Source organism: Homo sapiens, chromosome 2, assembly GCF_000001405.40.
Source record: "Homo sapiens chromosome 2, GRCh38.p14 Primary Assembly".
NCBI classification, from domain to species: domain Eukaryota; kingdom Metazoa; phylum Chordata; class Mammalia; order Primates; family Hominidae; genus Homo; species Homo sapiens.
In genome coordinates, this window is record NC_000002.12 from 235,750,496 (window position 1) to 235,764,432 (window position 13,937).

Consider the following 13,937-nt stretch of genomic DNA (forward strand, 5'->3'; position numbering starts at 1 on the left):
CGCGTGGCTGGGAGTTTAATTTCAGTTCATGATAGACGGGAGGCACTTCAAGAAGTCAGTCCTGCCTGCACTTGTGCATGTGGGTGGTGGAAATATGTCGTTGATGGGTGGGCATTAGTATCGAGAGCAGTCCATTCCAGAGGCAATTCTCAGGTATGTTTCATATAAACAGTGCTGTGTTCAGAAGAGACAACAAGGCATGGCTTGAGAACAGCCTGGTGTTGGGTCTGTGTGTCTCCTATGGGGCCTTTTTGTGTACAGGATAGAACATTTCTTGAGCTGTTACTCATCCATGTGCTCTGTAAAACTTGTTTGTGAGCATTTCTTTATTGTAATTGCCCATTCTTAATCCAGTCCCGTCCTTTAAAGCAGTTTAAATATTTGATATTAGGCTTTGAGAAGAGAACTGAAAGGAGGAGAGAGAGAGTCAAGTTTGGACCTCCCCCCACCAAAAAAATAATAAAATGACACGATACCACTCACAGCAGAGGGTGAGGACCAGCCTTTTGGAATTGTTTTTAGGTTATTTTATTCATTATTGATCACCTACCTTCAGGAACAGCCACAAATCAGACAGAAAATTCTCCTAGGAGAGCATGAGGTTCTGCAAGAGGGTCACATACTTGTGGATGATCATAGCGCCAGACGTCGTCTATGAGAGAGGAGCCTGTGCAGATGCGTGGGGTGGGCGGGAGAGGTGGCGTCACCCTGGGGATAGGAGGGTCTGGGGTAAATAAGGACTGATACTTCTAAAGCCAGTCTTTTCAAGTTGGAAGCTTGGGAGAGGCATGGTTCTGGCAGAGGGTCCCCTTGCTGGTGGGAGTGGTGGAAGTCACTTGTAGGGTCCTCTCCCCTTCTGGTTTAAATCCATGGGGGCAGAGCCACCTGTCCCCCTGCTCTGGTGCCCAGGGGGTTGTCGGGGGCAGAGCAGGGCAGCCACACTCGGGCTCTCCAGAGAGTGCTGGAGCCGCTTCAAGGTGATGGAGGACTCGCCGCGCTCTGACCTTGAAGACCCACGGTGAAAGCAGTGGCTGCAGGACTGTTCCCGGGACTTCCTCCAAATGGGGCAATTTTCTATTACATGTTTAAATTAGTCTTCAGATGAAATTGTAGGGATTCTGTACATTCACTGTTCAACTCAGTTTCAAAGATGACATCAGTTCTCAAACTTCACATTTTCTTTCCTGGAGCAGTGAGGTTCCTTTCTAAGCCTGCCGTCTCTTCCCGCGCATCTCTGCCTCTCAGATACTTACCTGTTTTTCAGCACGTTGGTCCTAGTTACTGCTTCATGGCTTAGGTTTCTTCTCGCCTTATCCAGTGCCAATGCTGAAGAAGCGCAGGGTCCCCTGAGGATCAGCACAAAGTCGCTGGGGTCCCACAGCCCCTTCTTCCCTCCACTAACGTATATCTCGGGCACCTCCTGCTGCCTCTGTCGGGAGAATGTCCTGTGGGGAGTAAACCTCATTTCAAGCCGTGCTGGTGAACATGAGTGAGATGTTAGTGAGACTTGGAAGAACTGTGCAGGGAGGCCCTTAGAGCTCTTCTGAGAGGTGCACCCTAATGGAGCAAGGTCACTGTCGGCCGCTGCGCTGCCGAGGCCCCTGTGAATGTTGAAGTAAAGCGTCGTAGATGAAGGGTCCCCAGGCCCGTGCATGAGGCCAGCTGCCTGTTTTCATAAATAGACTTTTCTTCTTTTTTTTGGAGACAGAGTCTAGCTCTTTGCCCAGGCTGGAGTGCAATGGCGTGATGGCAGCTCACTGCAACCTCTGCCTCCCAGGTTCAGGCAAATCTTGTGCCTCAGCCTCCCCAGTAGCTGGAATTACAGGTACACGCTGCCACACCTGGCTAATTTTTTGCATTTTAGTAGAGATGGGATTTTCACCATGTTGCCCAAGTTGGTCTCAAACTCCTGAGCCCAGGCAATCTGCCCACCTTGGCCTCCCAAAGTGCTAGGATTATAGGCATGAGCCACCGCGCCTGGCTGTAAATAGACTTTTCATGACGCAGAGCCACGCTTTGTGTCGATGGGCTGCAGCGGGTTTGGGCCCCTCTCCAGCTGTGACAGCAGAGATGAGGGTCTTTGCGGCCTGAGAAGCCCAGAATATTCACTCTCTGGCCCCGTGCAGAGAGCTTGCCGGTCCCCGATGCAGGATATCAGGGACTCAGTTGTCTGGATAAGTTTAGTTTCCACAGTGACTCCTTTGCTTTTGTATTTATCACGGTTAACATACATGAGTTTTCCATAAATTGATGAGTGCTTCTTATAAAAATAATGTTGTCAATTAATGAATACTGGGGGTTGTCAGGATGATGCTGCCTTCCTGCCAAACAGCCTTTGTACGTTCTGGCTGCTCTAACAAGACCCAGTGGCTTATACAACAGACTTTTACTTGTCCTACTTACGGAGGATGGGAGTCCAGGGCCAGGTGCTGGTGGGTGTGGTGTCTGCTGAGGGCCATCCTCCTAGTGGGATATGTGTTTGCATAGTGGAGAACAGAGGACACAAGCCCTCGCCAGTCCCTTCCCATAAAGGCACTTAACCCATCACAGGGTTCCACCCTTGTGATCAGTCACCTGGCAGAGGCCCCACCTCTTATTCCCCTGGGGGTCAGGATTTCAGTATAAGAATTTGGGTTGAGTTCCATACCACACCCAGCACGTTCAAGGCAGAGGACAGGCAGCCACCCACCTCTGTGTTGGAAGCATTTCGTTTTCTTCAGGTTGGGGGTGGCAAGAGGAGAATAAGGACTGATATTTCTAAATATTAGTTTAAAATATTCAGAAAAAGCGTTTCCGTTACTGTGACAGCTCATGTCGCACCTCCCCAGGTGATGCTGTGATGAGTGTCCGTTTTCATGGGCACAGGAGATTTCCGTTCCAGTTTCGTATTATAGAAATAATACACTCTCATTATGTATTCGGATTTTGGCTGGGCGCAGTGGCTCAGGCCTGTAATCCCAACACTTTGGGAGGCTGAGGAGGGCAGATCACCTGAGGTCCATAGTTCGAGACCAGCCTGGCCACCATGGCGAAATCCCATCTCTACTAAAATTGCAAAAAATTAGCCGGGCATGGTGGCAGGCACCTGTAATCCCAGCTACTCAGGAAGCCAAGGCAGGAGAATCGCTTGAACCTGGGAGGCGGAGGTTGCAGTCAGCTGAGATTGCACAATTGCGCTCCATCCTGGGTGACAGAGCGAGACTCTGTCTCAAAAAAAAAAAAAAGTAGGATTTTATGGAATTTGAAAAGCAAATACCTGTGAAGCTACAACTTCCGTGACTATTGCGATTTTTTTGTCCTTAAAATATTTTCATATGAAGATAACATTTTTAAAATAAAATCAGTTACTTTGTATATTTTATATCATAGTTATATGGTATATGGTTTCTTATTTGTATATGTATTTTCATGTAAATCACAAACACTCTCATTGTTAGTGAGAAAAGTAGTTGCTGAGTAGGAGCTTTATTCAGTACTTAGCAATCCTTAATAACAAAGTAAAAATCCTCAAGGAAAGTTAAACATTGTAAGGTTTATATAAAGTTGAAGAAATTGAGGCTCAGAGAAATGACATAGCTTGACCCAAAGGGACACAGCCTGGACTGGATCCCCCATCTTGGGACCTGAGAGCCTCGACTTAACCACAGCACCGGGACATTTTGTCATTAAAATGGAAGCAAATCAGGTCCTGGGGCCTTAAGAACACACCAGCTTTGCCCACAGGTCTGGGGAGGGCCTTGCAGGGGATGCACCCAGCCAGCAGGGCCCCTGCCTGCTCGCCGACTCAGTTTATTCACATTTCTTGATAACTCTCTGGCTTCTTTTTTGCCCTAGGGCTTACTTTGTTTATTTACTTTTTATACCTGTATATGGTAGAAAGAAAACATAAAGGAAAAGCGTGTAATTTCTACATAATGTTTGGCTTGTAAATAAAAAAAAAAAAAAAATCCAGCTGCTTCCATTGCCCTGCGGAGGCCATGTTCCTGATTGGCTCTGTACCGAGGTTCATTTAAAAGGCCAGGGACCTCATTCTTTCTTCTCCAACATTTGACTTCTTAGTGTCTTGTAACAAAAGGACATTGTAAAAATGAATGGAGAAACCTTGCATTCACTTTTTGTTCGCTTGTGTGGTCCTGTTTACTTTGCTTTCATGGAGTTTCCAGATGGCTACTGGCAAGTGGCTGTAGGTGTTGGGAAGCAGCCTAGCAGGCTGGTTCATCCACCCAGTCACTCGTTCATCTGAGCACCAGCTTCCCACACACTGTGCGTCTGGTCAGGGGCTAGAGGCAGATTGGGAAGCGCAGGCAGGGTCCCTTCCTCCGTGAAGTTAAGGTCCACTAGGGAGGGTAAACATCAAACGGTCACCCAGAAACATGACCTTGTGTCTTGCTCAGGGGTGGAAAAGAAGTGTGGCAGCCCAGGCTGCTTTCTGGGGGTGGAGCGTTCTCGCTCCTGCTCACAGGCGAGTTTGTGTGGCTTGCGGGGCTGGGTGAGCTGGTTCCACAAGATGGTTTCTGCTTGACCTGGGCAGCTGAGCCGGACGTGGGCTGTGGGTACCCAACCGTTTGGATTCTCAGCAGAGCCCTGGGGAAGGGAGGCACTGGGGGCTGGGGCGGGCTGGATGTGCGGACTTGGCAGCTGGGGGCTGCAGGTCCGTCTGCAGGGACTGCACAGGGCTCTCGTTCCTAGATTGCTTCACAGCCAGCGGCTCTGTGCCTGTCAGATTCTGCATGGCTCTGTTTGCCTCTTCCTGCAACTGGGAAATAACCTATATACAAGTTTTTCTATTTTTAAAGTTAAAATGGTGATTTCAGTGTTTGGCATTAAATTTTTCAAAAGTCCCTGTTGATTTGTTCTCCTAGGGCCTGGATACATGAACATGAAGGATTACAGAAAAATAAAGTTCATTCCATGTAGACATTGTTCCTCTGGTCCTACGATCCCTCCCCTTCCCCTTCCCTTTTTTCGAGGCAGGGTCTCTGTCACCCAGGTTGGAGTGCAGTGGCACGATCTAGACTCACTACAGCCTCTACCTCCCGGGTTCAAGCAGTTCTCCTGCCTCTGCCTCCTGAGTAGCTGGGATTACAGGTGTGCGCCATCATGCCCAGCTACTTTTTGGCTATTTAGTAGAGACTGGTTTTTGCCATGTTGGCTAGGCTGGTCTTGAAATCCTGGCCTCAAGTGATCCTCTGGCCTCGGCCTTCCAAAGTGCTGGGATTGCAGGCATGACACACTGCACCCAGCTTGCGATTCTTCTTTAAAGAGACATTTTTCCCACTTCATATGAAGAAGCAGCTTTCTGAGTGGCAGCAAGCAGCTCTTCTGGACAGACAGAGTGTGTGTCTGACATGGGACTGTAGTCAGGTCTCCGGAAGGTCAGGAAGGGTATAGTTTTGGTGATGGGATTTTTCAGCCTACATGCTGAAAGGTCACCTAAAATAGTTATAACTTAGTGACAAAAATAAATCCTCCCTTCAGAAGGCCAAGTCATGTTCAAGGTGGTAGCAAGCTGTGTATAGGTAGCAACAGGGCCCCTTTGAGCATTACACGTGCACCTTGGGAGGAAGAGAGTGGAGAGCGGGCTCTGCCTGTATATTCTTGGAGATGGTGCATTCAGCACTGTCGTTCCCTGCAGTTAGGTTTTGGAGAGTGTAAATTTTAGCCTGTCTTCAAATGCTTTGAGTTTCTCGTCTTCCTGAGTAGCGTGTTCGGAGCTTTCTCTGCTGCGGGTGGCGGTGCCACAGAGGAACACAGGGGCCTGTGTTGTGGCATCTGTTCAATCGGGGAGACAGGATCAGGGTTTTTTTGTTGGTTTTGACATTCTTGAGCCAATGCACCCTAACTTTTATTGGGCATAGTTTATGATTGTTAAATTATGGTGTCTTTGTGGTAGCTGTATGGCATGTGGGATTTTAAAGGCCCCTGATTCCTAAAGAAAGAGGGGTTTCCCTTTCATAGGCAATCAGGAGTACAACCTGATAGTGGTACAAAGAATTGTTTTCATTTCTTCTCCAAGCAGCTCGATGCCCTTTCTCTCTTCACTCCCCCTCTCCTAGAATGAGCTGATAAAGATGTACGTGAGTGGTCCACAGTGTGGTTTTATGCATGGATTGTTTATTTGCATCCCAGCATGTTTTGTATACAGCAGGGGTCCCCAGTCAGGCTGCACAGGAGGTGAGCAGCTTGCAAGTGAGCATTACTCCCCGAGCTCCGCCTCCTGTCGGATCAGCAGCAGCCTTAGATTCTCCTAGGAGCACGAGCCCTGTTGTGAACTGTGCATGCGTGAGATCTAGGTTACGCATTCCTTAGGAGACTCTAATGCCTGACGAGCTGAGGTGGAACCGTTTCATCCCAAAACCATCCCCATCCCCCACCTGCCCCCCAACCCCTGATCCTCAGAAAAATTGTCTTCCATGAAACCAGTCCTTGGTGCCAAAAAGGTTGGGGACTGCTGCTATATAGAATTTAATATTCTTGCATGCATTTTCTGAACCTTCTAGTCACTTGTTAAATCCCAGTTCAGAACATCACATTAGATATATGATCTGCACTGTGCTAGGACGTGCTCCCCACCAAAACGTCAGCGTCTTAAGCTTGTATTCATATGACCATAGGAAAACCTACATGCAGAACTTTGATAGTAGTTGTTAGACCAGGTCAAGATCCATGTCAAAGAGATAAATTACAAATTATCATCTCTCTGCTTAACGGTCTCCAGGGCCAGTTTGGTGATCTCACATAGACTTCTGTCCTAGAACAGATCTGCATTATTGTGGAGGGAGAGACAGTAGGTTCTAGGTGTATGGGAAAGCTGGGCAGTGGCACTGGAAGGGCGCTGTGTGCCAGGTGCTAGCGCTCCCGGGCCCTGTGTGCCAGGTGCTAGTGCTCCCGGGCTCTGTGTGCCAGGTGCTAGTGTGGCCACAGCCTTGTGGCTTATTAGGGCTTCCTCTGTTCACACGCTGTGTACATCGTCCTGGTGGATGGGTGTTTATCTGGTAGAGTAGTTCCTGGTCTAGGCAGATCCATGTCAGTCCTTTGACCTCATTGCCCCTGGCTTTTTATGTTTGTGCTGCAGTTAACATTCTGGAAAGCACTTTTATAGAAGCCATTCCATTTGTCTTTTGTCCCTTCCCAGTAACGGCTCACCTGGGCCTATCTAACCCATGCCGAGAGCCCGAGCTGGGAGAGGTTGCATGATTTTTACCAAGGTTGTGCGGGAAGTCAGGGAGCCTCGGTGTGCTCTTGATGCTTTGCTTCCAGAGATTGAAATCCTGGTGTGTGCAAAGAACCCCATCTCACATTAAATGGCTGCAGCTGCCTGGTCCTAATTACAGGAGTGTCCAGAACCAGGGGAGCTATGTTAATGAGTCCGTTTGTGCAACCTAATTGCACGCACTAGAGCATCTGTGAATGTAAGCAGTCTTCTGGGCCTCTTCTCCTGGGTCCTGCATCATCTTGGACCATTTTGTTTTGCTCACACCACAGTCCTTGTGCTGTTAAAGGATGTATCAGTTAAGCCTATTCCATTCTTTCCTGAAATCAGCTTAATTTTCATTGTCGGGGTGGCCTGTTTTATGATTTGTTTTTGTTGCTATTTTTTTCTCCTTTATTACAGATTAGATTGGAACTAGTGTGTGTGTGCATGCGTGCATGTGTGTGTGTATATGTGTGTTAGCGAGGGAATACTTCAAAAAATAAGATTTTTTACACTTGAAAGCAAGCCATGTATATGTGTACATTAGGCACTTGATATATGTTGAAAAGGTGGATTAATGGGTCATTAATTGTCCATTTTTTAATCACTTGTAGTAATGACTAATAATTATGCAACAATTTAACGGCTTATGATGTAGGATAGTGGATCTTATTAGGCCCAGTTTACAGCTGGGACTACATTGTTGGAAATGCTGCCTTCCCAGAGGTACATGGTGCAGCTGGTGTCAGGCGAGGCCATCATTTCCCGTTTCTACCTGTGGTCTTGGCTGTGCACCTGTACTCATCACTGTCCCCGTCTCTACACCCTCACCCCCTCCACACATTGAAAGTCTTATTTCTAAGACTTCCTGGGACAGATGGGTGGTAGATGTGTATTGGGACAGTATGAAAGAGGTTCAGCTGCTTAAATTACACTTCATTAAGGGGGTTCATATTTGAACATTTTCTGAGAACAAAGATGACATGAAGAAAGTGACCTCTGTAAGGCTCTGGCAGCACTTATGCGGTACCAATACAAATGGGGGTTGGGGGCTGAGCAGAAAACATTCTTCAAGAGTTAAATGATCAAGTCACGTAAGGCGTGTTGTTTTTGTTTTGTTTTGAGACAATGTCTCACTGTCACACAAGCTGGAGTGCAGTGACACAATCTTGGTTCACTGCAACCTCTGCCTTCTGGGCTCAAGCCGTCCTCCCGCCCCAGCCTCCCAAGTTGCTGGGATTACAGGTGCGTGCCAGCACACCCAGCTAGTTTTTGTATTTTTAGTAGAAATGGGGTTTTGCCATGTTGCCCAGCCTAGTCTCGAACTCCTGAGCTCAAAGCGATCCGACCGCCTCAGCCTCCCAAAGTGCTGGGATTACAGGCATGAGCCATGGCACCCGGTCATATAAGGGGGTTTGATGCTGGTTTGGGAGACATTCTGGTGTCGTTAGCCCTAGGGTTGTTGATGTCATTCTTTTTTTTTTTTTTTTTTTTTTGAGATGGAGTCTCGCTCTGTCACCCAGGCTGGACTGCAGTGGTGTGATCTCAGCTCACTGCAAGCTCCACCTCCTGGGTTCACACCATTCTCCTGCTTCAGCCTCCCAAGTAGCTGGGACTACAGGCGCCTGCCACCACGCCCGGCTAATTTTTTTGTATTTTTAGTAGAGACGGGCTTTCACCGTGTTAGCCAGGATGGTCTTGATCTCCTGACCTCGTGATCCGCCCGCCTTGGCCTCCCAAAGTGCTGGGATTACAGGCGTGAGCCACCGCGCCCGGCCCTGGCAGCTTCACATGTAGGGCCATCCAGTGCATGTGAGAATCTGCAGATGGTCTCCAGAAGAGCCACATCTGACCTGCCTAGTAGCTTATCTCCCAGCGAATGGGAGAGGTGCAGACCTGCTGTTGACTGTAAGGAGACTTGATTCAGCCTGTTGGTGGGGGCGCACATGTGAGGAAGAAGCCTTGGTGGGTTTGTGTGGGTCTTTCTCTTATGCCATATCCCTGGTTTATATTTGGATGGGAAAATACATAAATGTTTGATGGTGATCATTTTTATGAAACATGACATTGTCAACTCCTTTCTTCATATGCATTTTCGAATTCAGTTCTTAACCAAAGAAGCTCTTTCTACAACAGGGTTAAATTATAAACTGAAATAGCAAATTAATACCAAAACTAAAATAAAGCTTTTTGTATAGTAAACCATACATTCAGAGGTTTAAAAAAATCCAACAAAATGAAAAATACTTTTGAGTTACTATTTTTAGAAAAAAATTAGTTTGGGTTGAAAAATTCTTACCCTCATGAAGCTATAAAAGCACATGTTTTACTGATGAGAGAAGCTTCTGGCACATCAACTGAGACAAAAATCTTCCATATTCACTCGGTAAATACAAATACAGAAGATGGGCTGGGCGCAGAGGTTCACAGCTGTAATCTAAGCACTTTGGGAGGCTGAGGCAGGCGAATTACCTGAGGTCAAGAGTTTGAGACCAGCCTGGCCAACATGCCGAAACCCCCCTCTCTAAAAATACAAAAATTAGCCAGGCATGGTGGCGTGTGCCTGTAGTCCCGGCTACTCGGGAGGCTGAGGAGGGAGAATCTCTTGAACCCGGGAGGCGGAGGTTGCAGTGAGCTGAGATCACGCCACTGCACTCCAGCCTGGGCGACAGAGCGAGACTCCGTCTCAAAAAACAAAACCAAAAACAAAATAAATACAAATGTGTAAGATAGAATTCGTTATGAAGCTACACCAGACATTTTCAGGAGTAATTTGAGAATGTGCTTGAGGTGATTATCCTTAAATCATCCAAGTGTTTTTGAATATTATTTCAATTATTTCATCTTAGAAGTATGAAATCAGCTTGTTTCTTGTTTAGAGTTGCCCTTTCTTTTTATTATTATTTCTTAATTGAGACAGGATCTCGATCTGTCACACAGGCTGGAGTACAGTGATGCCATCATAGCTCACTGCAGTTTCAGACTCTTGGGCTCAAGCCATCCTCCTACCTCAGTCTCCTGAGTAGCTAGCGCTACTGGTGCATGCCACCATGCCCAGGTCATTTTTCAAAATTTTTGTAGAGATGAGGGTCTCGATGTATTGCCAAATCCAGTCTCCAGCTCCTGGTCTCAAGTGATCCTCCTGTCTCAGCCTTCCAAAGTGTGATGGGATTATAGGCGTTAGCCACCACTCCCAGCAGCCCAACTTTTAAAGGATTCTCTCTCAGTCTATCGCTTGATTTGCTTAACACCAGCCATTTAATATGAAAATGTTTAGGTGGGGGAGGGAATATCTTAATTATCATTGTGCTCCATACGCTACAGATGGCACCTGCTGGCCTTAGCAATATGGGGTCAAGTATGAAACATGATAGAGTGACACCCAAGGAACCTATAAGGAAAGGAATTTTGATTCTTTCAGAAATAACAGGAAGAAATTATCTTAAAATCTTAAGGTTGATGCTGCAAACAACCAGAGACAATAAATAAATTGTTATTTAGTGATGTTGCAGAATATTGTGTTAATAGAGCCTGTGATCTCTTCTGGCAATTTCTTACCCTAAGTCTGGGATTTTTCCTGCTGTGCTTCTCTTACTAGAAACGTTAAGTGTGCACAGATGCTCATACGTGTGCAGAGAAATGCCTGAATTAACTCTCACACTGCCAACATTAGATCATTAAACACACTATTAGTAAATGTTCTCTATTTTGATTTTCATGTTAAGACTCATCTCTTTTGCTCATAGAATTAATTTTATCAATGACATAGAAAATGGTTATTTTAATACTTCTCTGCACTGCGGTATCATAGCTGTGTTTTGCCCCAGGACTTCTCTCTAATGACTTGAGCCAGCTTGAATTAGCGTGATGTATCATTAATGCATACAAATGGCTTTTATTTTTGTTCATAATCTGTTCATAATGCCACGGCATTCTGCTCTTTCTAATGTTTTTAAAATGATTAAGTAGTGATGTACTTTTTGACCTAGTTAACCCTCCATGGAATCGATGATCAAAAGAATAAGAGAATATTACTTAACTAGGATAGTCAGAAGTTGTTATAATCTGTAGCTGATGTTTTCCAGTTATTTTGAAGTTTTTTATAATTTTTTTTTCCTTAGGGAATATGGACATAGGCCGGGCGCACAGTGGCTCATGCCTGTAATCCCAGCACTTTGGGAGGCCGAGGTGGGTGGATCACCTGAGGTCGGGAGTTCAAGACCAGCCTGGCCAACATGGTGAAACCCCATCTCTACTAAAAGCAAAAAATTAGCCGGGTGTAATGGTGCATGCCTGTAATCCCACCTACTCGGGAGGCTGAGGCAGGAGAATCGATTGAACCCAGGAGCCGGAAGTTCCAGTGAGCCGAGATTGTGCCGTTGCATTCCAGCCTGGGGGGATAAGAGGAAAACTCCGTCTCAAAAAAAAAAAAAAAAAAAATTGCAGAGAATATGGACATAGCCATGTGGTCCTTTTTTCTAAGTAAACTTCACTCATCGAGGAGCTACCCACAAACCACTGGGTTAGCAGCACTGAATTTGTTCACTTGATGAAAGATGAGGAATAGTAATCCTTTTTAAGTTGTGAAGTTCTTTAACCTCAGAAAGGGTGGCTTTGTCTCATGGACTTTGATATTTTTTGCATAGTCCTTGTAGGTTGAGCCTGGCCAGACACTGGCTCCAAGAGGATGTGAGGAATTCAGGCTCCGAGCAGATCAGGGGCATCCCTAAAGGTTGGGTTCTGGAATCGGGTGAGTTTGTGTATTGAATGCAGAGCCTCATCGAAGCGTTGTGACGAGGAGAGCGATGCACTGACGGCCTTAGGAGTCTCCCTGATATAAGCAAAAGTCAGCTGGGAAGAGTGGATTTCAACTTTGTTTTCCTAAGAGAAAAATAGGCCAGATGTGGTGGCTCACACCTGTAATCCCAGCACTTTGGGAGGCTGAGGCAGGTGGATCCCCTGAGGTCAGGAGTTCAAGACCAGACCGGCCAACATGGCGAAACCCTGTCTCTACTGAAAATACAAAAAAGAACTTAGCTGAGCATAGTGGTGGGCACCTGTAATCCCAGCTGCTCAGGAGGCTAAGGCAGGAGAATTGCTTGGACCCAGGAGGCAGAGGTTGTGGTGAGCTGAGATCGTGGCACTGCACTCCAGCCTGGGAGACAGAGTGAGACTCCATCTCAAAAAAACAGGAAAGAAAGATAGATTGTAAAACCTTCAGTGAGTACGTTGGATGTTGTGAAATTTGCCAAAGAGAAGAAAGATGATTTTTAAAGGATATAAAATATGGAAATAAAAACCACTGACAACACTGCCACCCGGGGGCAATGATTGTTAAGGCTCGGGTGTGTGTGTGTGTGTATGTGTGCGCGCGCGCGCACACGTGCACCTGCCGTGTTTGAAAAAAATGGACTGTCATGCATTGTGAGACTTTATAGCATACTCTTTCACATACACGTGGAGCATCCCTAATCTGAAAATCCAAATCTTAAACTGGAAATGCTCCAAAATCCGAAATGTTTTGAGTGCAGACATGGCACACAAGTGCTCACGCAGAATTTCGGATTCCAGGTTTTCAGTTTAGGGATGCTCAGCCTGCAAATATTCCACAAAAAAAAAAAAATTAAAACACCCTGGTTTCCAAGCATTTTGGACAAGAGATCCGCGACCGTGAAACTTTTCCCACCCTGTGGTTATTGATTTTTGCACGGCATTTCCTTGAGCAAACAGAACAGCTTTTGGACCCAGTCTCCAATTAGACATTTGGTTGGTTTTTTATCCCTCTGTATTTGATTTAGATGAGTGCTTCCGTGCATGGTTTTCTTTACTGAAAGCTGTGTCTCTGTCCTTCCTAATTTCCCGAGGATCCATCTCTGGAAGTGAGACTGTGTGTCCACATCCTTCAGAATGTTAAGGCTTTGAATCCTTGGTGTTGACTGGCCTTCCAGGAGACCTGTCCTAATTCAGCGTTCTCCAGCAGCTGCCCTTTTTCTGCACCTGGCCACACTGGGTATATTCATTTTGAAAACCTCTATCAGTTTATACACAGAAGTATTATTTCATGTAAGTCACCCCCAAATATGAAAATAAGTCCACGTCCTGTAATCTGTTTTGTTATCTGATTTCCCACCTGTCCTAGGTAGGAAAGGTGTACTCCTGAGGATGACACGTGGGACCCAGGCAGTCCTTGCTGCTCTTACAGATGCGCGCTTTTGGGGTCATCAGGCGGTTGCAAAGGTGGGAGCAGCCGTGCTCCCCAGAATGCTGACAGCACAGAGCACTGGTCTGAAGATCTGTGTGTGGCTGTGATCCGTGCGTGGCTGTGACCCGTGCGTGGCTTTGGCCCGTGCGTGGCTCCGGCCCGTGTGTGGCGGTTGCCCATGTGTGGCTGTGACATGTGGAGGCGAACTTCCACGGCAGAAGTGCCATGCTTCCGTAAGCTCTTCCGACTGGTTGGTAGGCGCTTTTATCGGCACATGAGCACCTTACAGACAAATATCTGAAGTACACTTCAAAGGAGGCAAAGAAAAAGCAAAACTGCCAGTTCCTTGAGCATGGCTGTGTGTCGTTGGTGCTCTGAAGGGCTTGAGAATCTCTCTCTACCCTTCATTTTCATGCACAGAAACCGATTTTCAGGGAAGAGCTGTGGCCCACCACGGTCGCTTCAGCCCCTCCCCGTTGCCCATGTTTATTCCTTTTCTGCCTTTCCTCATTGTCCATCTGGACTGGGGATCTTGGTCAC

The 13,937-nt window shown here is 46.7% G+C and overlaps 1 protein-coding gene and 1 long non-coding RNA gene across 6 annotated transcripts in view; one reads left to right on the top strand and one right to left on the bottom strand.

Annotated features, from left to right (window-relative positions):
- Positions 1 to 13,937, top strand: part of AGAP1 (ArfGAP with GTPase domain, ankyrin repeat and PH domain 1) — a 637,751-nt gene that overhangs the window by 256,453 nt on the left and 367,361 nt on the right. The gene's annotated exons all lie outside the window — the stretch shown is intronic.
- The window catches only part of LOC105373942 (uncharacterized), a 42,554-nt gene that overhangs the window by 2,798 nt on the left and 25,819 nt on the right, over positions 1 to 13,937 (bottom strand). The gene's annotated exons all lie outside the window — the stretch shown is intronic.